This window comes from Homo sapiens, chromosome 17, assembly GCF_000001405.40.
Source record: "Homo sapiens chromosome 17, GRCh38.p14 Primary Assembly".
Lineage (NCBI taxonomy): Eukaryota > Metazoa > Chordata > Mammalia > Primates > Hominidae > Homo > Homo sapiens.
The window spans coordinates 43,759,317-43,779,271 of NC_000017.11; the positions used below are offsets into that span (position 1 = coordinate 43,759,317).

Here is a 19,955-nt window from a genome sequence, read left to right on the forward strand (position 1 = left end):
TTGGTCCCAACTCCACAAGTCTCAGCATTCATTGTCCTAACCAAGAAAGCCTCTCTTGGTATTCTCTGGAAGGCAAGAGAGAGAACTAGAGGGTCAGAGCAAGGGTGCCCGCTTGGGAGAGAGGGCAGGATTCTGGTTACAAATCGAGGATGCGCTGGTCACTCAGGCTCCTGTGGTGGACAGCACAGAGGAAATCCCAGCTCATGCTCCTCAGGGATCCTGTGCACTGTGACAGGCACTTCTGAGCCAGGGCACTCACTGTGGCTCGCAGGGTGATGTGCTGAAGACAGTCATTTCCCCAACCAGTCTGTGTGTGTGAGAAGACAACACCAAATTCCTTTCCTTAGCAAAAGCCACAGCCAGCGTTTTTAGTGCTGACATTTTATTTTCTTGTCTTCCAGCTGGTTACATTTTTCAAAAACAGTTTTGAGTCCTGTATGGAAAGCTTCATTGGTGCACACCACAGGATGTGTTCCATGAAGCCATCCCAGGACCAAGTGGTCACAAAGAAGCTAAGAGAAAATGCTGCCTTGGCCCTGCATATAATGAGCCACACAGGGCCGGGGCGGGGGGCGGGGGGGCAGGTAGAGGCGTGGGGGAGAAGGATTCACACCTGAGGTGCAAGAAGAGAAAGGAAGGCCAGAGGAATCTTTCATTGAAGACAGATTGTTTGAGGACAAGCAGCTCCTGTGAAGAGGCTGCCCAGATCCTCTGGTATTTTAACTGGGCAATGAATCAGCATGCCCCACCTGCAGAGCCTCTGCAAGTCCTTTGCCACCTGCCTCAACTTGCAAGTCGCTGTGTCCATCTGCAGCCGACTGTCCTCCTTTCCATCATCCATCATCCGACACATGAATGCAGCTGCTCTGACAGTTTTACAAGCCAGACAGAAGCCCCCTCAGGAAGGGCCCTCTCTGATACCTGCTTCCTAAGTCAGTTTCCTTCAGGGCAGATGAAAACAGCTGTGGCCATTGTTGGGGGTGATCTATCTCTCCCAGCAGAGCCGGTAGTGTTGTGAGAAGCTGGCCCTCCGCGCCACCTCCCCTTGTCTATGACCCTCCAGCCTCCTTTTCCCTTGCTCTGGAATGTGGACTGTTAACCCTCTCATGACCAGACGACTGCCTTCTTGCAATGGACTTGGGAGAGAGCAGTTCTGATGCCTGGGTTCCTTGAGCAGGTAGGATGGATGCTTATAGCCCCACCTGCTGTTGGGAGCGGCTGGACCGTCTGCATTAAACAGAGGCAGTGGGATTCATCCCTGGAACGCGTCTGCCACCTGCTGGAGACAAAAGGAGGGGTGACTGCAGGATGGCAAGTCTCAGGACTGGACGTGATTTCCTTTCCTTTCCTTTCCTTATTTGGAAGTGAAGTAATATTAAAAGGAAAAAGAAGAATCCAGTGGACTTGAACCTCTAAATGATCCACACCCCTCTGAATGGCTCAGCGAGAACCTGCTGTGACATCTTCTGCTGTTTCATTTAATGTTAAGTCATTGACAGCTGTTTATTTTTACTCAGTCCACAAACTTGTCATTGTTCACAGTACTCCCTGGAATTAAACCCCCAGGGTTTTAGCTGATTCCTATTGTGAGTAGTTTAGGTTATTTCCAATTTTTTTTCCTATTTCCAGCAGGGTTGCTATGAACATCCTTGTACGGCTGAAATTTTTTTTTTTTTCTTTTTTTGGCAGATTCTCTCTGTGGCCCAGGCTGCAGTGCAGTGGCACAATCTTGGCTCACTGCAACCTCCACCTCCTGGGTTCAAGCAATTCTCCTGCCTCAGCCTCCCGAGTAGCTGGGATTACAGGAATGCACCACCACGCCCGGCCAATTTTGTATTTTTAGTAGAGACGGGGGTTTCTCCATGTTACTCAGGCTGGTCTCGAACTTCTGACCTCGGGTGATCTGCCCAACTCGGCCTCCCAAGGTGCTGGGGATTAGAGGCATGAGCCACAATGCCCGGCCTCAGAGTAATTTTTTAAATTAAAATTTTAAAATGTGGATATAATTATAAATTTAAATATACTTATAAGAAATAAAAGCCTGGGCAACATGGTGAGGCCTAGTCTCTACAAAAAATTTAAAAATTAGCTGGGCATGGGGTCGCACGCCTGTGGTCTTAGCTACTTGGGAGGCTGAGGTGGGAGGTTCACTTGAGGTTGAGGTCGAGGCTGCAGTGAGCCATACTTGGGCCACTGCACTCCAGCCTGGATGACAGAGTGAGACCCCGTCTCAAAAAATAAAAATAAAAAAAAGAAAATGCAGACTCCGTGTATCCTTTATCCAGTTTCCCACAACAATAACACCTTGCGAAACTATAGGACAATATCACAACTAGGATATTGATATTGACACAATTTACCAATCTTACCCACATCTCCCGTGGTTTAACCTCTACTGTGTGCGTGCACACGCATTCACGTGTGTGTATACTTAGTTCTATGCAATCTTGTCACGGGTAAATTTGGGGATCCACCACAGTCAAGATAAAGCACAGCTCTGTGACCACAAGTCTTTCTCCTGTTGCCCACCTCCTTCCCTCCTTTTCCCTCCCTCCCACAACTAACCCCTGGCAACTACTCATCTAATCTCCATTTCTGTCATTTTTTTTTTTCACTTCAAAATTGTTACATAAATGCGGCCAGGTGCGGTGGCTCACTCATGTAATCCCAGCACTTTGGGAAGCCAAGGCAGGCAGATCACTTGAGGTCAGGAGTTCGAGACCAGCCTGGCCAACATGGCGAAACCCTGTCTCTACTAAAAATACAAAAATTAGCTGGGCATGGTGGCACGCACCTGTAATCCCAGCTACTTGGGAAGCTAAGGCAAGAGAATCGCTTGAACTCAGGAGGCGGAAGTTGCAGTGAGCTGAGATCGCGCCACTGTGCTCCAGCCTGGGTGACAGAGTGAGACTGTCTCAAAAAAAAAAAAAAAGGTTATATAAATGGAATCAATTAGTATGTAGCCTTTGGGGATTTTTTTTTCACTCAGCATTATTTCCATTATCCAAGTTGTACATATCAGTAACATGTTCCTTTTTCTTTTCTTTTTTTTTTTTTTGGCTGAGTAGTATTCCACAAAGTTTAAAAAAACAAAACAAAACTTTAGAGTTATTTCTGGAAGTGAATGCTGTGTCTGAGGGAGTGTGAAGAGTTTGGTGGTCTGATGAGGGTATTGCAGGGCTGTTTTCCAGAAAAAGCCCAGTCCCCGCCCTCACCTGCAAAATAGAGGCTCCCATAGGTGGTACTTTGATGAGGCTGCCGTAACTAAGTACCACAAATTGGGTGGCATAAACAACAGAAGTCGTCTCACAGAGCTGGAGGTTAGGAGTGCAAGTTCAAGACATTGGCAGAGTTGGTTCCTTCGAGGACAGCGAGGAAGGCCTTTTACCTGCCTTCTGCTGGCTGCTGACAAGCTGTGGCATTCACTGGCTTGCAGAAGTGTCACCCCCAATCCCTGCCTTCATCTTCACATGGTGTTCTCTCTGTGTTCGAATTTTCCCTTTTTTCTAAGGAGGTCAGGCATATTAGATTAGGCCCAGCCTAATGACCTCATCTTAACGAGTTACATCTGTAATAGCCCTATTTCCAAATAAGGTCACATTCTCAGGTACTGTGACTTAGGACTTCAATATATGCATTTGGGAGGAATGCAGTTCAACCCATAAATAAGACTGTCAACACTGGGTTTGGGATGTTGATTTTTTTTTTTTTTTTTTTTTTTTTTTTTGAGACAGAGTCTCGCTCTGTCACCCAGGCGGGAGTGCAGTGGTGTGATCTTGGCTCATATAACCTCCACCTCCTGGGTTCAAGCAGTTCTCCTGCCTCAGCCTCCCGAGTAGCTAGGACTACAGACTCCCGCCACCACACCCAGCTAATTTTTGCATTTTTTTTATTTGTTTTGTAGAGATGGGGTTTCGCCATGTCGGCCAGGCTGGTCTTGAACTCCTGACATCAGGTGTTCCCACAATCCCATAAAGTGCTGGGATTGCAGGCGGGAGCCACCGCACCCAGCCGATTTTTTTAAACATTGAATTTAACAGTTGAAACTTAATTTCCAGAAAAGCTGCTTTTCCATGTGATTATTTACCAGCTTTTGTTTCTGTCGAGTTGCTTCTTCCGATGTTCACTCGCCAAACGTTTAATAAAGCAAGGGGGACACGCACTCCCTCTCCAGGAGCTCGCATACCATGGAAGAAATAATTTCCGCATCCAAACAACTCCACTACCAGATGGAAGGTGATCAATGCCACTGAAAAAAAGGTTCAGATGCTTTTTTCTAAAAAAAACTTTATTTTTTTTCTGGAGCACTTTTAGGTTCACAGCAAAACTGAGTGGATGGTACAGAGATTTCTCATTTATGTCCTGTGCCCACACATGTACAGCTGCCCCCGTTATCAACATCCCGCCACCAGAGTGGTGCATTTGCTATGATTGATGAGCCTACATGACACATCATTATCACCTGAAGTCCATGGTTTACATCACAGCACTAGTGTTGTACATCCTATGGCTTTGGACAAATGTATAATGACATACATCTACCATTATAGTATCATACAGATGGGCAGTATTTTCATTGTCCAAAAAAACTATCTGCTCTGCCTATTCATCCCTCCCCGACTTTCCCCAACCCCTGGCAACCACTGATCTTTTTACTGTACCTTTATTTTTGCCTTTTCCAGGATGTCATATAGAGTTGGAATATACCCATACATAGTCTTTTCAGATTGGCTTCTTTCAGTTAGTAATATTCATTTGGGGTTCCTCCATGTCTTTTCATGGCATGAACAGCTTATTTTTTTTTTTTAGCACTGAGTAATACTCCATCGTCTTGATGTATCACGGTTTATCTAGTCACCTACTGTCATCTACTGAAGGACATCTTGGTTGCTTTCAAGCTCTGGCAATTATTAATAGAGGTGGTATAAACATTTTGTACAGGTTTTTTGTTTTGTTTTGTCTTAAGACGGAGTCTTACTCTGTCTCCCAGGCTGGGGTGCAGTGCCGTGATCTCAGCTCACTGCAACCTCCGCCTCCTGGGTTCAAGTGATTCTCCTGGCTCAGCCTCCCGAGTAGGTGGGATTACAGGTGAGCACCACCACACCTGGCTAATTTTTGTATTTTTAGTAGAGAAGGGGTTTCCCCATGTTGGCCAGTATGGTCTCAAACTCCTAACCTCAAGTGATCTGCCCACCTCAGCCTCCCAAAGTGCTGGGATTACAGGCATGAGCCACCATGCCCAGCTGTGTGCAGGTTTTTATACGAACGTTAAGTTTTCAAATCATTTGAATAAATACCAAGGAGCATGACTGCTGGATTGTGCAATAAAAGTATGTGTAGTTTTGCAAGAAACTAAACTGCAAACTGTCCTCCAAAGTGGCTGTACCATTTTGCATTCCCCACTGAAACAAAGAGTTCCTGTTGTTCCACATCCTCACCAGATGCATTTTTTCAAAAGGACAATTTTCTTATGGGCCTTCAAAGGAGAGAACAATCTCTTTCCCCTGGGGAGGATCTGGGATCCTTATGGTAAGATGTGGCATTTGGACCAGACTTTGAATGACAGGCCAAATTTGGAAAGTATATTATGCTCCTTTGACTCCTTGGGATCATAGAATCTTTGATCTGGAAGGACTCTCAAAGGTCATCCGGTTTCATTCTCTACTTGGTTCTGGAGGAGGCCCCTATCTCTAATTAATGGAAACTGAGGATTCTCCTTATTGGCTGCATTTTAAAACAGATTTTGCTCCCACTTGTAGGTGGTAAAAAGGAAATATCTGGATTAGGAGGGCAAACTTCTGCTTTTAGGCAGTACCCTGCATTGAGGGATGTCCAAATCACCTTGTCTTTATTTACACATCCATACACAATGGAATGCTATGTAGCTGTTAAGATGAAGGGGGTAGAACAATAAAAACAATAACCATAATATAAGCTAAGCAAAACAAACAACAAAGCAGAGATATCTCTGTATATACACACGTATGCACATATGTGTGCTTATATATGCTTGACATTTTCCTTTAAGGATATGATGCTTATGGGGAGACAGATTGAAGGAGCAAGTGACTCACTTTTCCGTATAAGCCTTTTGCATTGTTTAAGTGTATTACTATGTACATATAGTATTATTTTTAATGAAAAATTTTTTAAAAATTATACTTAAAAACTTTTACCTGTTTTATATTTTAGTGCTCTGCCTTAAGATTTTGTGTAGAACCATAAAGATTACATTGTCAGAGTCTTGACAAACAGGAAGCGAGTCCAATTGCTTCATGTGATAGAGGGAATGGGAACCTCGAGAGGCTTTCTCTGCCCAGACTTCTGTCTGGGAGGAAAAGGCAACTACTTTCTCTAAGGTTTTTTATTCAAAGGAACATAGCACCAATAGTGGAATTTAAGGCATCTGGGGGAAGGGGATATGTTTAGGGACTGTTCATTTGCAGGATCACTCAAATCTCAAAATGTCACCCAGTCATCACGTGAGGCTACCTTGAGATGAACACCCTAGTCCCCTGCTTTCTTAGAAGCACAAACCTTACCTCCTTCATTCAGGACCATTATGGCCATTCTACCTAAGAATATTCCTACCAGAACATTTCTGGTACTGGAAAGGTGTTCATCAATATCTACTGCATAAACAGTGCCATCATGGAACCTATAACTAGCTCAGAACGGCTATGTTTTAGATGATTATTTTTAAAAAGTTAGAAATCGCAAATATAAAAGCTAAGCCCAAACAAAAAAAGCTAAGCATAAAAACGTAAAAGAATACCAACTGTGATAAGAAGGACAAAAAAACAATACCTTTGTAATGTAAGACATTTATTTTGGCTAAAGTTCTGGTGTTTTAACACTGATTTGTGATACAACGGACATTAAACTTCCTTTTAAAAAGAAAAAAACAATTTGGTAGCTCTCCCTTTTCTGTCCAGAAAAATTCACTCTTTCATAATCAAATTACCCTAAAATTTGGTGGCGTTAAGAGGCAACAAAAGTTAAGCTTCCAACGAATCTGTTCTCTCAACCGGAAATGTCTTCTATTTCCAATCAGGATAAAACCTTGACTTACTTGCAAGGACTATCACGGTTAGCCCTTCAGTGATTCCTGACACCAGTTCTGTGAAAAAGAAAATTTCCTGCGAGAAAAGCTCATGTCTTCATATTGAAGATCAGTACTTTTTTTTTTTTTTTTCCTTTAAAACAGTAGCATCTTAACTTGTGGCACAAAAGGCACCAACATTCCCTTTCCAAACCATCCATCACCATGGGTGGAAGGCAGCGCCACCTGCTGCCCATCATATTATGGCTCACATACCCATAATTTCCTTGCGGTGCTGAATTCCAAGTGGGGATTATTAGAGACCCCTCAGAGCCAAAAGGGGACCTTAGAGGTCTTCTAGATGAGTCCCCTCATTTGTAGGTGGTGGTTTCTGGATAACTCAGAGTGGCAGGGACACAGACGAGCCTGTGGAAAGGTATACTGCTTTAAGATTGAGAAGAAAACCATTTGGCGCTCTAATTTTGCCTGGATGGTGCTCTGTCAGTCAAAGAAAGGGAACAGGTCTGGGGAGGGGGTAAGGGCACCCTGAGTTCCTGTTCCATCACTTCCCAGGCAGTAGAAGGCTGTCCAGGAACAGCTCCCATCCGCAGCTGGGCATGTGTTGGCTCTTACACAAGAGACTTTAATTTTACTTGAAGAACTAAGAGCTAAATCTTGTTAAGTAAATACGGGGTTTCAGGGGTGAAGGACTATCAAGAAATCCCAAGTTATCAGCATAAAAGTAGTCCCAAAGTAAAGGCAGTAATTCTCCCAATGGCCTTTTCTCCCTCATGCCCCCACAGAGACTTTCGAGAGGTCCTAGTTAGCCAGCCACACCAACCTGCTGTGTTCGCGTAAGTAGCTGTGCCTGTCCCATGGGGTGACCACTGCCTGGTCATGGGAGGGGAGCCCCAGCCCCAGCTCCCTAGCCTTTTCCAGGAGCAGAGCAGAAAGCTCTACTTCGGGGTGCTACATCCCACCTGGAGAAAGAGCTGCACATTCTAGCCTATGAGGGACCCACCCTTTTCACTTGCTTCTCCGGGGCTGGATTGAGGGTAAGTGCAGTACACCTGGAGATCCCAGGGAGCCCCCTTCTTGAGAAAGAGTATCGTATGAAAGAATCCAGCTTCAGGGAGCAGCAAACCCAAAATCTTGCCCAGCTCCACCTTATGGAGCTGGACAACCCTGGGGGCCAGGCCCTTAATCATTCTGAACCTCAGTTCCTTTTTTTTAAAAAAGGTCACAATACAAGAACAAGCTCTACTAACTTTACAGGGTTACTGTGAGGCTCAAGTTAGATTAAGTTGGAAGGCTACCTAGAAGCTGTGCAGTGAGGTACCCAGTTTAGAGGATGGCCATTTCACTTAGGTGGGTTTATCTGGACACCTTTTTCACTATCTGGAGAAGAAGACACATACTGGTTGTTCAGGGCTGCTGTGGTCACAGAGAAAAGCGGACAGCAAATGACCAGGCTGGGCAGGGCTGCTTCTGTGTGATCAGAGACCTTCCCAGCCGGGAGTGAGGCCTTACGCCACACCTGCCTCTCCGTGTCCCAGCCAGGAGCTCCTGGCCAACTCTGAAAAAGGCACATTCCCTACCTTGGCATATTAACACTGCCTGAATTTAAATGTAAAACTGAGTTGTAAATAGTCAACAAAAGTCCCTGATATTTCTTTCGTTTTAGGTAAGACTCCTTCACAAGGCCTTGCGAGTGATCCTACCATGAATTCAGTCTTCTGGGAGCGTGACACACCCACCAGAACAATGCCCTATATATATTTGGTGCTCAAAAAGTGTTTACTTTCTTAAACTTTTATCAGACACCTATGTGCAAGGTGCTGGGGGCATGGCTGAGGACCTTCTCTTTGCCCAGAGTGACCCTGAAGATAAATAGCATCACAATCACTTTCCATAATAACAATAACGTAAAATCCTAACAAGACTGTATTTAAAACAAAACTCTTATATTCTGGCAAATGTGCATACACATGTGAGGGCTGGTGCATTCCAATATCATCCTTAGAAAGTCTTTTGAAAGGTTTATCGTGTTTGGGTTTTTTTGCTCTACCACCAATAAAGGATCCATTTGGACACTCCGCCATGTCTCATGTCTGCCTGGCTGAGTCACTTCAGGGATCCCGTGCTGGCACCAGAGAGCTGTAAGAGCCACCTGCAATGGGCAGGGTGTGTGCCTGGGACCTTTCACTTCCCTGCTTGTCTTCTGGCCGCGTTTCTGAGAGGCACGCCCCCCACACACATCCATGCACACACGCTGTAATTGGCCAACTTCCTCCTTCTGTTCTTGGAATAGCAACCGAGACAAAAAGCAGTTAGCACGAGTGGCTTGGGCTTGCCAACACTACAATTCAGGACAAAACCCTTGTAATTCTCCAAATGGTGGGGTTTTTAAATAGGTTGGACTTCAACTCCCTGTTTTCTAAAAAAGAAAAAAAAAAAAGCATGCCCAAGGCATCACTCTTCTCAAAAACGAAGTGACTGAGATAAGATCGAAGGGAAATATTCCAGAGCAGCAGATTCTGAACTCAAGGCTTCCAAAGATTCACATTTTGAAAACTCTATGGATTTAGGAGGGTTCTCCAGGTTTGCCCACAAGGCCTCTTTGTGTAGGGACCATTCATCCTAAGGAAATCATTCAAATGCAGCCTTGCTGTGGGAATCTCCATCCACTAATAACTGACGGACACCCCCACCCCAGCTTCGGACCTCAAGACGTGAGAGGGCTGCCTATGCACAGGGTGTGGAAGGCTGTGGGGACAGTGCAGGGCACAGACGTGGTGGGGAGAGTGGCCTGCATTTGCATAGTTCCTTTACTAGGGCTCAAGGTGTTGAGGTCCACACTCAAGAGAGGATTCGGGAGTTGGGGAAGGGAGGTCATGAGGGACCTCTGTGAGCATCTTAGGCCTTACACTTCCACACACCTCCTGCCGTGGGCCATCGGGAAGCATGCAGGCCACAGGCCTTCCCCCTCTGAGCCCCCATCTCAGGGAAAAGACATCATAAGTTACAGAAACAGGACAACTGGGGAGCAAGGACGCCCCCCTTGGCAAGCTTCTTTATGTGCTCCCCAGGGTGGGGAAAGTGGCCCAGGACTGTGTTGGGACACACTTGTAGACAAGTGCCTTGTGATGCTGGGAGCAGGGTACAGTGTGTTTCCTAAACATGGCAGCTCGGGACACCTTTGCCCACGGCCTCCCCCACGGACCTCTCGAGCAGAGGTGGTGGGGGTGCCCTAGGGTTTCAACTTCCCCTCCTTGGCTAGTCTGTCATTGAGCTGGCAGAGCTGGGCCAGGAAGCCATCGTTGGGGCCGATCTCACGGTTCTGCCTCACGATGCTCAGGGCAGACTTGACGTCCATCTTCTGCCGCATCATGAGGTAGGCGATAACTAGCGTTGGGGAGCGGCTATAACCTTCCCGGCAGTGGACGAGCACCCGGCCTGTAAGAAACAGGGGAGACGTGGTGAGCTGGGGGCGTCCCATCACACCATGGCGTTGGTCAAGACTCTTCCGTGAAGTGCCACTTAAAAGCACAATGTCACGCCACTGTGTGCCTGTCAGAATGGCTAAAATGAAAAGGATGGAAAACCCAAAGTGCTGGTGAAGATATGGGGCAACTGGAACTCTTCTGCGTGGCTGGGGGAGGTGAGGCGTGAATTGGCACAACCACTTTGGAAAGCTGTGCGGCACGGCGGTATCTCCTCAAGCTGAACACGTGCATCCCCTCTGGCCCAGCAATCCCACTCCCAGGCCCAGGTCCAATAGAGATACGCATTCACATTCACGAACATGGGCCAGAATGTTCACAGGCAACACTGCACATCATGGCCCACAGTTAGAAACCCCCAAAGGCCCATCCACAGTAGAAAGGACAAATACAAAGAATGACCAGACTGCCACTTAGCAGAAGCAACACGGAGGCAGCACACACATATGAGGTGGATGAGCCCACAGAGTAGGAAAGCGGGCAAAACCATCTGTGCTGTCAGAAGCCTGCAAGGGGCTGGGCACAGTGGCTCACGCCTGTAATCCCAGCACTTTGGGAGGCCAAGGCAACTGGATCACAAGGTCAGGAGTTCGAGACCAGACTGGCCAACATAGTGAAATCCCGTCTTTACTAAAGATACAAAAAAATAGCTGGGTGTGGTGGCGCGAGCCTATAATCCCAGCTACTCAGGAGGCTGAGGCCAGAGAATTGCTTGAACCCAGGAGGCAGAGGTTGCGGTGAGGTGAGATTGTGCTGAGATTGTGCTCCAGCCTGGGTGACAGAGCGAGACTCTGTCTCAAAAAAAAAAAGAAGCCCGCGTGGCAGAGGCCCTGGGAGCTGGGGATGGGGGTGGTGGAGCATAGAGACTGGGGGTGCTTTCCAGGGTGCTGGTAGTGTTTTGTTTCTTTTTTTTTGAGATGGAGTTTCCTTCTTGTTGCCCAGGCTGGAGTGCAGTGGCGCGATCTCGGCTCACTTCAGCCTCCGCCTCCCGGGTTCAAGCAATTCTCCTGCCTCAGCCTCCTGAGTAGCTGGGACTACAGGCGCATGCCACCATGCCCAGCTAATTTTTTTGTATCTTTTAGTAGAGGTGGGGTTATTTTAATATAGTGTGTGTGTGCGTGTATATATATGTGTGTGTGTGTGTGTGTGTGTGTGTGTGTATGTGTGTGTATATATATATATATAAATAGACACCATCTCTCAATATCCACAGGGCAGATTGGCTCCAGGACCTCCTGCCGATACCCAAATCCACAGATGCTCAAGTCCCTGATTATAAAATGACATCATATATGCAAATAACCTCTGCACAGCACATCCTCCCCTATACTTTAAATCATCTCCAGATGACTTATGATACCCAAGACAATGTAAACATTTATTAGATTATATCATCTAGAGAATAATGACAAGAAAAAAAATCTGTACATGTTCAGTACAGACATAACATCTTTTTATGTTGTTTTTAATATTTTTCAGACTGAGGTTAGTTGAATCCACAGATGTGGAACCCACGGATATGGAGGACCGACTGTATATTCTATTGGTTCTGTTTTTTCTAGAGAATCCTGACCAATACACTGGTTATTAACTCATGATCCACCTAACCTCAAGGTGCCTCAGTTTTCTTATCTGGCCAATAGTACCCATTGCACAAGGTGGTTAGATTAAAGGAGAGGACACATGAATCCTCTAGGTTAGCACCTGGCATCCATGTGCACTCAATAAATGTTACCCAATACTGGGCATCCTCTGGTAGCACCTAGTACACCCTCAACTACAGCAGCCCTGGTCCTGTGTCATTGCCAGACATGCGCAGATTGACTTTTCTCTCCCAGAGGACGAATTCTTTAAGAGCAAGAAATGGCCGGACACGGTGGCTCACACCTATAATCCCAACACTTTGGGAGGTCGAGGTGGGCGGATCCCCTGAAGTCAGGAGTTCGAGACCATCCTGGCCAACATGGCGAAACCCCGTTTCTACTAAAAATACAAAAAATTAGCTGGGCATGGTGGCACATGCCTGTAATCCCAGCTACTCAGAAAGCTGAGGCAGGAGAATCACTTGAACCTGGGAGGTGGAGGGTGCAGTGAGCTGAGATTGAGCCACTGTACTCCAGCCTGGGTGACAAGAGCGAGACTCCGTCTCAAAAAAAAAAAAAAAAAAAGGCAAGAAATGTGGGGCATTGATTTTTGGATGCGTTACAATCTCTAGCATACACTATGTGCTCAATAAATATTTGCTGACTAGCTGAGTGAATTATTACCTACTAACACCTCTATAAGGCCATTGTTTGGCAAGGAATCTGCTAGCCCAGAGTCCAACAGAGTCTCTTCTGCTCCTATCACCCTACCCCCAAAACACCACTCTATTTTCCCAATGCCTTCCAAATCAGGAAGCAGGAGTCCTCCACTTTCTTGCCCATTCACCCTCCGGCCTGTATGCCCGAAATATTCAGAGTGGGGCTTCCCCTGCCCCACCCTAGGAATGAGACCCTCTGCAGAGCAGCCACCTTACCATCTAGAACATACTCTGCATGCCCAGTGCACACAGAGCCTACTGGGAAAGGGGCCAGTTCAACCTCCCATTCCTCTAGGCTCAGCCCAGATGCCACCTCCTCCATGAAGCTGTTTTCCCAGCTAGAAGTGACTGCTCCCTCTTGAGTACCCTCAGCCATCCCACCCAGCTCTCAGTGATGGGTCCCTGGGCCCCACACACTGTTGGAGGCCAGCATGTTTCTGTTGACTCACTTCGCCACTCATTCTTAGAAGCATTTATACTTGGCATTAGAGCCCATGGAATTCTTCATCACTTGCTCATTCATCATTTGCAGTGTACCTACTATGTGCCTGATGCTACATCAGGTGCTAAGGAGACAGACAAGGAACAAAGTAGACCCAGCCTGAGGGCAGGCTTCATGGAAGAGAGGACACCATGCCAAGGACAAGGTGGAGTTTGCCAGAGGAAGGGGTAGGGAGAGGCAGAGAGAACTTTTCAGACTAAAGACCCAGCACACCTGGACTGAGACAGGTCAAAAAAAGGGCGTGTTCCTAGTTGTTTGGAAAGAGGAAACAAAGTCAGAGAGCTTGAAATTCCCTGAATGAATAACCAATTGCTATTATACGAGAACAACAAAATCCTTCCCCTTCGCCCAGCCTATGTTTACACAGGGTGAGGAACTCAGTACAGCTGGAGTGGAGGAGGTGAGCAGGGTTGGGGGGTGACAGTGACCAGGAAGGACCATGAGGGGCCTGTCAGCAAAGTCTGCAGATACTCCACAGTAAAGCTTCTCTCTGAGCCCTGAGCGTTCACTGTCCAGTGGTCTAGAAAATTCTGTTTACTGGAAATCATTCAGACAGTGAGCCTGCTGGGCCCAAGAGTCATCAGTGTAGTACAGCCAAGGCTGTTCACACCTCATGGGGGTCCCCTCCGCTGGGAGGGTTTGGGGTGGGGAGAGACGAAGAGGTAAAGGGAGGAGCTGAGAGAAACAGCTAAAAGCAGAAAGGGAGAAAGGGCAAGTGGCCCAGCCTGCTCAGCTGATGTCTGCTTTGTGGCCTTCTAGGGTTTCTTGCTGGAATGCCTTGGTGACTGCCAGCGCCTTGGTAGTTCTCCTTCAGTCTTATCTTATATTTGGGGGCTGCAGGAAGTGTTTCGTAAGTGGCTGGAAGATTTGGCCAGGGGGGCTGTGGTTTGCTGACTGCCAACCTAAGCTGACCGCAGCTACCCCTTTTCTCCTTGCCAGGCAATCACGTGAATCTCTAGCCAATGAGATGTGAGGGGTATTTCTGGGAAATGTTTTACTTGTTCTTAAAGAGAGAGACTGGGCATGGTGGCACGTGCTTGTAGTCCCAGCTACTCAGGAGGCTGAGGTGAGAGGACTGCTTGAGCCCAGGAGTTGGAGACCAGTCTAGACAACATAGCAAGACCCTGTCTCTTTAAAAAAGAGAGAGAGAGTGGCCAGGCGCGGTGGCTCATGCCTGTAATCCCAGCACTTTGGGAGGCAGAGGGAGGCGGATCACCTGAGGTCAGGAGTTGGAGACCAGCCTGACCAACATGGTGAAACCCCATCTCTACTAAAAATACAAAATTAGCCAGGCGTGGGGGCGCATGCCTGTAATCCCAGCTACTTGGGAGGCTGAGGCGGGAGGCTGAGGCAGGAGAATCGCTTGAACCTGGGAGGTGGAGGTTGCGGTGAGCCAAGATCGCGCCATTGCTCTTCAGCCTGGGCAACAAGAGTGAAACTCCATCTAAAAAAAAAAAAAAAAAAAAAAAAGGAGAGAGAGAAGAGGAAAAAAAAGAGTGGGAAGAGATGGCTGCAGGGCCTCATCTGCTGTACTTTGTCCTGCTTGGATGTGGTGACTGGATCCCATCTTGGGACCATGACGGGAGCACCCAACACTGAGGTGGCAGAAGAGAGAAAGGGAAAGGGCCTGGTCCAGAGGCCACCATGGAGCTGCTGAATCAAGCAGCCCCTTAATCAACCAGCCCCCATGCTCCTTCACCTCAGGACTTCTTGCCATGCACATTAACACATTAACACATCTTCCTCATCGTTACAGCTGTTTGAATGGGGGACGTGTAAGCAACTGGAAACCAACCTCCAGCCAAAGTGCAGTCAAACGCGAGGACCCTGGGGCTGCCATGGTGTGAATGAGTTGCACATCCTGTGACACACGGGGCCACTTGACAGCCAGCCAGGTGAGCAGAGAGAGACCTACAGCTCTGTCGTTCACCCCAGAAGATGGGAAACAAGGGAGTTTCTAAGAAGAGACCTGTTGTGGGCCTGTTTTCCAGAGGGACAGTCCAGTCAGAGCTGCCTCCCATCTTTTCCTGGTGGGAGGTCCCTTACCATTCTTTTGAGCCAAAGCCTGGTCAATGAAGTCGGCAGCCCTTTCAAAGTAAGCGCTGAGGTTGAACTCCTGTGTGTCGTTGGCCTTGATGCCCAGGTATGTGATGCCGGAGTCCTTGTAGAAGTTGGCATTGGTGTTGACGTGCATGAAGGACCTGCCCTCAGCCGCGTTCAGCACATGGGTGATGCCTAGTTTCTGCAGCTTGGGGATGTCCTGAGCCACAGACCTGGACAGGAGACAGTGGTGGGGATGATTAACCAACCAAATGGCAGCCCCAGGGGGAGGAAGATGGAGAAGGATTTAAGCCTCTTAGCAAAGCAAGGAAACCCTCCATGCTCTGGCCCCTGCCAGCTTCTCCTGCCTCATCTTATGACCTCTTCCCTCACTCTGGCCATATCGAATTGCCAGCAGCTTCCCCAAATAGACTGGTGGTTTCATAGCCATGCTGTCCCCTCTGTCTGGAATGCTCTTTCCCACCTTCTCTGGAGAAATGCGCCCTCTCATCTTTCACACCCTCCGCAGTGTTTGTCTCCCCTCCATTCCATTTGGCCCCATGCTCCCTAAGCTGTGGTGGGGGTGTACATAGCCAACTGGTTACAGATGGGCTCTGGAACCAGACTAACTGGGTCTGCATCCTGCCCAGGTACTAGCCAGGCAACCTTAAGCAAGCCATTTAACCTTTCTGTGCCTCAGTTTCCCTCTCTGTAAAATGGGGATAACAGTGCCTTCTCCTTGAGGTTGTTATGAGTATTAAATGGGCTATTCCATTGACAGAGCTGGACACGGTAGTGAGCACTATGATTCTAATGCTTGATTGTGCTTCTGTGTTTAGACATCCAGACTGTGAGCTCCTTGAGAGAGGAACCATGTCTGCTTTAAGTCTGTTTCCCCACCATCTGCTATAGTACCTGCTACATAGTAGGTGCTGAATAAATAAGCGGTGAATGAGTGCAAAAGAATAAATTTGTCACGTACCAGGCAGCCCCCTCCCTGCCCCCAGAGGGATCCTACCTGCCACATTCCACTGGCTACGTTTCCAAAGCTCTTTTGGGTGATTTAGTACTTGGGGAGTAAGTGGCCCCAACAGAACTATGGGAGGTTACAAAATAATTTATCTAAGGTCGGGTGCAGTGGCTCACACCTGTAATCCCAGCACTCTGGGAAGCCGAGGCAGGTGGATCACCTGTCAGGAGTTCGGGACCAGCCTGGCCAACATGGTGAAACCCCGTCTCTACTAAAAATACAAAAGTGAGCCGGGTGTGGTGGTACATGCCTGTAATCCCAGCTACTCTGGGATTACAGAGGCTGAGACAGGAGAATCACTTGAACCCGGGAGGTGGAGGTTGCAGTGTGCTGAGATTGTGCTATTGCACTCTAGCCTGGGTGACAGAGTGAGACTCCGTCTCGAAAAATAAAATAAAATAAAATAAAAATAATAATTGGTCTGAATGGTGAAAAGGCCCCTTTATTTCATCTCACAAAACATCCCAGTCCAAATAGCAGTTTATACTTTATAAAATGCCACCTCCTGTGTGATCTTGCTTGCCCACTGCGAGCAGCCCTGTGAGGAACAAGGATGGCAATATCCCTGCTTAACAGAGCTTGAACTCAGGCCCAACAGGATGAGCAGAGGGATGGGCACAGGCCCCGTGTGCTGCTGGTGGCAGATCTGGGAGAAGACCTCCTTTCTCCCGACATCCAGCCCTGCTCTATCTTCCACCTCACTCTGCCCCTCATGCCCACATCTGCTGCAAAACCCCCAAGGCCTGGCACATGTGGCTCACACAGGCTCTGGCTCTGCCTTGTGAGGACGTGGCTGCGGCCCTGATTTTGTTAAGGGAATGGAGCCCAAATCCTCTTGGTGCTTGGTGCTCACTGATCCTCCCTGTTGAGGAACCCCCACACCCCTGGCCAAGTCAAGGTCAGAGGTGCTTAGAGGGCAAGGGATGTATTTTCTACAGTGGCCATCAGCAATTGCCACTCTGGCTACACCAGACGTGTACAACCTTGGTTTCCACTTGGGAAGTGATGACAGCTGAATGGCCAACCTGCCCAAGCAAGCGGGATTCCTGAGGCTAACAAGGCCTGCTTGCTGCTTGGTGCAAGAGGAAGGGTGTCTCTAGAGCTTTCCAATTCCTGAAGCCTTTGGCTGACACTGTGGGACTCTGTTTATTCCTGCTTAGGACACCGCGCAAGACTGTGAAGCAGTGGCTGATAGAAAAAAACACTTTGAAGAGTCACTCCCATTCATCTCCCTTCTCTAATACTTTTTTTTTTTGAGATGGAGTTTCGCTCTTGTTGCCCAGTTGGAGTGCAACGGTACGATCTTGGCTCACTGTAACCTCCACCTCCCGTGTTCAAACGATTCTCCTGCCTCAGCCTCCGGAGTAGCTGGGATCACAGGCGCCAGGCACCATGCCCAGCTAATTTTTGTATTTTTAGTAGAGACAGGGTTTCACCATGTTGGTCAGGCTGGTCTCGAACTGCTGACCTCAGGTGACCCACCCGCCTCGGCCTCCCAAAGTGCTGGGATTACAGGCGTGAGCCATCGTGCCAGGCCTCTAATACTATTAATAATTCAACATTCAAAAAATTTACAATTATCATTATTACTATCTCTACTATGAATGAACATTGTACAGTGCCTGACATAAAGCAGGTGCTCAGACTGGTGAATGAATGATGGAATGGATGAGAACTGTCCCCATGAGGCTGGGGCCTGATGGACCCCTTCTAGTTCCATGATGACCCCCATTTCCGTGGCAGTCCTTGGCAGGCTAAACAGCAGGTCATAGCGGAGGTCAGGAAATACATACATGAACAAGACATTGACCCTGTCCTTGTAGTCCCTCACACACTCTGAGCCACCATTTCCTCCTCTGTAAAATGGGAGGAGGGTTAGTTTTGAGTTTTCAACATGCCATCCTTGGGCTGAGCCATGAAGCTTAGGATTTTGGTAACTGGGTCCTCAGAGTATCGTGAAAATCCAACTTGAGGCTTTCCAAGGCTGTACAGGCATGCTAATATATTCTTTCTTGAGGCTCCTATTTCACATCTCAGAATGTTAACACTGGTTCTTTCCTGCTGATTAGACATTCTTACTAGAAAAAAAATTTAAAATTTAAATTAAAAAAAATCTCTTACTGTCCGGGTGCGGTGGCTCACGCCTGTAATCCCAGCACTTTTGGAGGCCGAGGTGGGCGGATCATGAGGTCAGGAGTTTGAGACCAGCCTGGCCAAGAGACCAGCCTGGCCAATATGGTGAAACCCCGTCTCTACTAAAAATACAAAAAGTAGCCAGGCGTGGTGGCGGGCGCCTGTAATCCCAGCTACTCGGGAGGCTGAGGCAGGAGAATTGCTTGAACCCAGGAGGCAGAGGTTGCAGTGAGCCGAGATCTCGCCATTGCACTCCAGCCTGGGTGACAGAGCCTGGGGGTGAAAGGTCAAGAGCCTTTTCTAGGTGGTGGCTCAGGTCCTTAGGGGGGTTATCACTGGACCGTTCTAGAATCTCCTGTAAATCAAATCACATCTGGAAGGTGGGGGCCTGGAAATCCCGGCCCAGCTCCCCGGACTCGCTCATTTGGGGTGTTTAGGTTCCCTGATCCGGGACTGCCGGGCCGGGAAAATTCCATGCCCGAATTGTGACGTCGGCCCGTTGCCATGGCGGCGAAGGCAGACATTCCGCGGTGACCTCACTGCAGAACCAGGCAGCTGTCACATGACGCGCGGGCAGGAGACCGGCCGGGCGACCGAGGGTCACCTGTTAAGTGAACATGGTAGCCCCGACCCCGCCCAAGGCCAAGCCCCAAGCGGGTGGCGGCTGGGACCCGGGCAGGCGCCACCCGGGCTCCGTGCACCCCGCCACGGGGAAGGGCCGCGCCCGGCCAGGCAGGGTTCCAGTTCCTTGGCCCCACGCGCGGGGGTAGGCGTCGACTCCAGGCCCCTCCCAAGCCCCCGCTGTGGCTCCCGGAGGGGCCATCGCGCCCGGGCTCCCCCAACCCAAGACTCGCGACACCCCGACCCCAGCCTCGGGTGGGCGGGGCGTCCCGAGAGGGACGGCGGGGCCGGGCTCGCGAAAGGGACTCACGCGTTGCCCACGTAGATCCGCGGGGTGACCTCGTTGCAGGGCTGGCTCGGGAGGCTGTAGCAGCCGCTGCCGTCCGAGAGCAGGTCGTTGAGATCCTGCACCGAGAGCTCGAACGAGCCCGACATGGCGGCGGCGGGGCCCTGCACGCCCGGCAGGAGCAAGCGAGGCGGAGAGCGGCGGATCAGCTGGGCGGGGGCTCGCGCCGGGAGCCGCCCCGTCCCGCCCCTGGGGCGGGCCCGCCGGGCTCCGGGAGCTGCGGAGCGCGGGCGCCGTGACGCGGGGGCCCCGCGCGCCACTCCTGGGCGCGTCCCGGGGGGAAGACGCCACCGCCCTGGAGTCTCAGGGGTCCTCGCCCCATCCCGGTCCAGGCCGTTTGTGTATCTTTGTAAACTGGCAAGCGCGGTAACTTCCTTCCCTGAATTAAATGCAGGGCCCAATAAACATTTCGTGGCGGAGGTACACCTAGGGGTCG

General features: G+C 49.0%; 1 protein-coding gene across 1 annotated transcript, besides 4 other annotated features; it reads right to left on the bottom strand.

Moving 5' to 3' along the window:
* Positions 1,125 to 1,419: a silencer, noted in NCBI's record as "tiled region #3915; K562 Repressive DNase unmatched - State 12:CtcfO". NCBI's record gives its function as "represses a minimal TATA promoter and a strong SV40 promoter by Sharpr-MPRA in K562 cells {active_cell/tissue: K562}" and the evidence as "EXISTENCE:reporter gene assay evidence [ECO:0000049][PMID:27701403]".
* Positions 6,809 to 19,661, bottom strand: DUSP3 (dual specificity phosphatase 3). Its single transcript, NM_004090.4, has 3 exons — positions 19,484 to 19,661; positions 15,396 to 15,622; positions 6,809 to 10,498 (listed from the first exon to the last, which is right to left on the bottom strand). The coding sequence occupies exons 1-3, from the start codon at positions 19,606 to 19,608 to the stop codon at positions 10,293 to 10,295; spliced, it is 558 nt and encodes a 185-aa protein (NP_004081.1). The 5' UTR covers positions 19,609 to 19,661; the 3' UTR covers positions 6,809 to 10,292.
* Positions 18,925 to 19,219: an enhancer, noted in NCBI's record as "tiled region #13819; HepG2 Activating DNase unmatched - State 1:Tss, and K562 Activating DNase unmatched - State 1:Tss". NCBI's record gives its function as "activates a minimal TATA promoter and a strong SV40 promoter by Sharpr-MPRA in HepG2 cells, with weak activation in K562 cells {active_cell/tissue: HepG2 | K562}" and the evidence as "EXISTENCE:reporter gene assay evidence [ECO:0000049][PMID:27701403]".
* Positions 18,925 to 19,841: a biological region, named in NCBI's record as "Sharpr-MPRA regulatory region 13819".
* Positions 19,152 to 19,841: a silencer, noted in NCBI's record as "silent region_8567". NCBI's record gives its function as "represses an Ori minimal core promoter by ATAC-STARR-seq in GM12878 lymphoblastoid cells {active_cell/tissue: GM12878}" and the evidence as "EXISTENCE:reporter gene assay evidence [ECO:0000049][PMID:35858748]".